The sequence below is a fragment of the Homo sapiens genome, chromosome 11 (genome assembly GCF_000001405.40).
Source record: "Homo sapiens chromosome 11, GRCh38.p14 Primary Assembly".
Lineage (NCBI taxonomy): Eukaryota > Metazoa > Chordata > Mammalia > Primates > Hominidae > Homo > Homo sapiens.
This window is the reverse complement of record NC_000011.10, coordinates 32875677-32876717: the sequence shown is the minus strand read 5'-3', so window position 1 is coordinate 32876717 and position 1041 is coordinate 32875677.

The following is a 1041-nucleotide window of genomic DNA, read 5'->3' as shown; positions in this document are numbered from 1 at the left end:
TTGCCTGTAGCCCAGCTACTTGGGAGGCTGAGGTGGGAGGATCACATGAGCGTAAGAGGCAGAGGTTGCAGTGAGCCAAGATCACACCACTGCACTCCAGCCTGGGCAACAAAGTAAGACCCTGTCTCAAAAAACAAACAAACAAACAAACAAACCATAATTGGTCCCTTTTTTCTCTACAGTTAGTGCTAGACAGTGCTATTGTTACACAAAGTCCCTTTGCCTCAAGCTCTACACCAGACATCCTCTTGACCTGAGCATCTTCACCTTCTGTGCCATCTTATTTAGAGTGACAACACTCTGCCACGTTTTCAGACACTTATCTATCAAAGTCACTAAAGTTCTGTGGTTCTTCTCCAGCTATTACATTTAAGTTCCTGGACAAATGAATAAACAAACAAACAAAACCTGAGGCCAAGAGAAATTCTAGTTGAAGAACATAACCTAATGGGAAAAATTAAGTTAGAGGGGCTGAGATTATGAAAGTTCCCGTGAATGTCCTCATAAACTAAATAAAAACTAAAGATATACTCTTTGGATAGACAGAATAGCATAGTGGATAAGGGCAAAGACTCAGAAGCCAGGCTGCCTTGATTCAAATATTGCTTCTGCTAACTACAAATTGTGTGATCCTGGTAAAGCTACTTAACCTTCCTGTGCCTCAGTTTCCTCCTTTGTAAAAGTGGGTAAAAATATCTGCCTCAGAGGGATGTTGAAAGAATTAAATAACTTAAAATATGCTTAGAACAGTGTGTGGTACATAGTTTCTTTCTTTTTTTCTTTGTAACTATTTATTTTGACATAAAGAAGGTTAAAGAATAGTACAAAGAACTCCCTTATATCCGTTATTAACATTCCCTAAATATCAATATTTATATTAGCTATCAATCACTCTCTGTCTTACCATTCTATTCAACATTGTACTGGAGGTCTAGCCAGAGCAATAAGGTGAGAAAAATAAATAAAGTACATATAGGACAAAAATTAAAAAGTAAAACACTTTTTATTTGTGAATGTCATAAAAATCTGAAGGAATCTAAA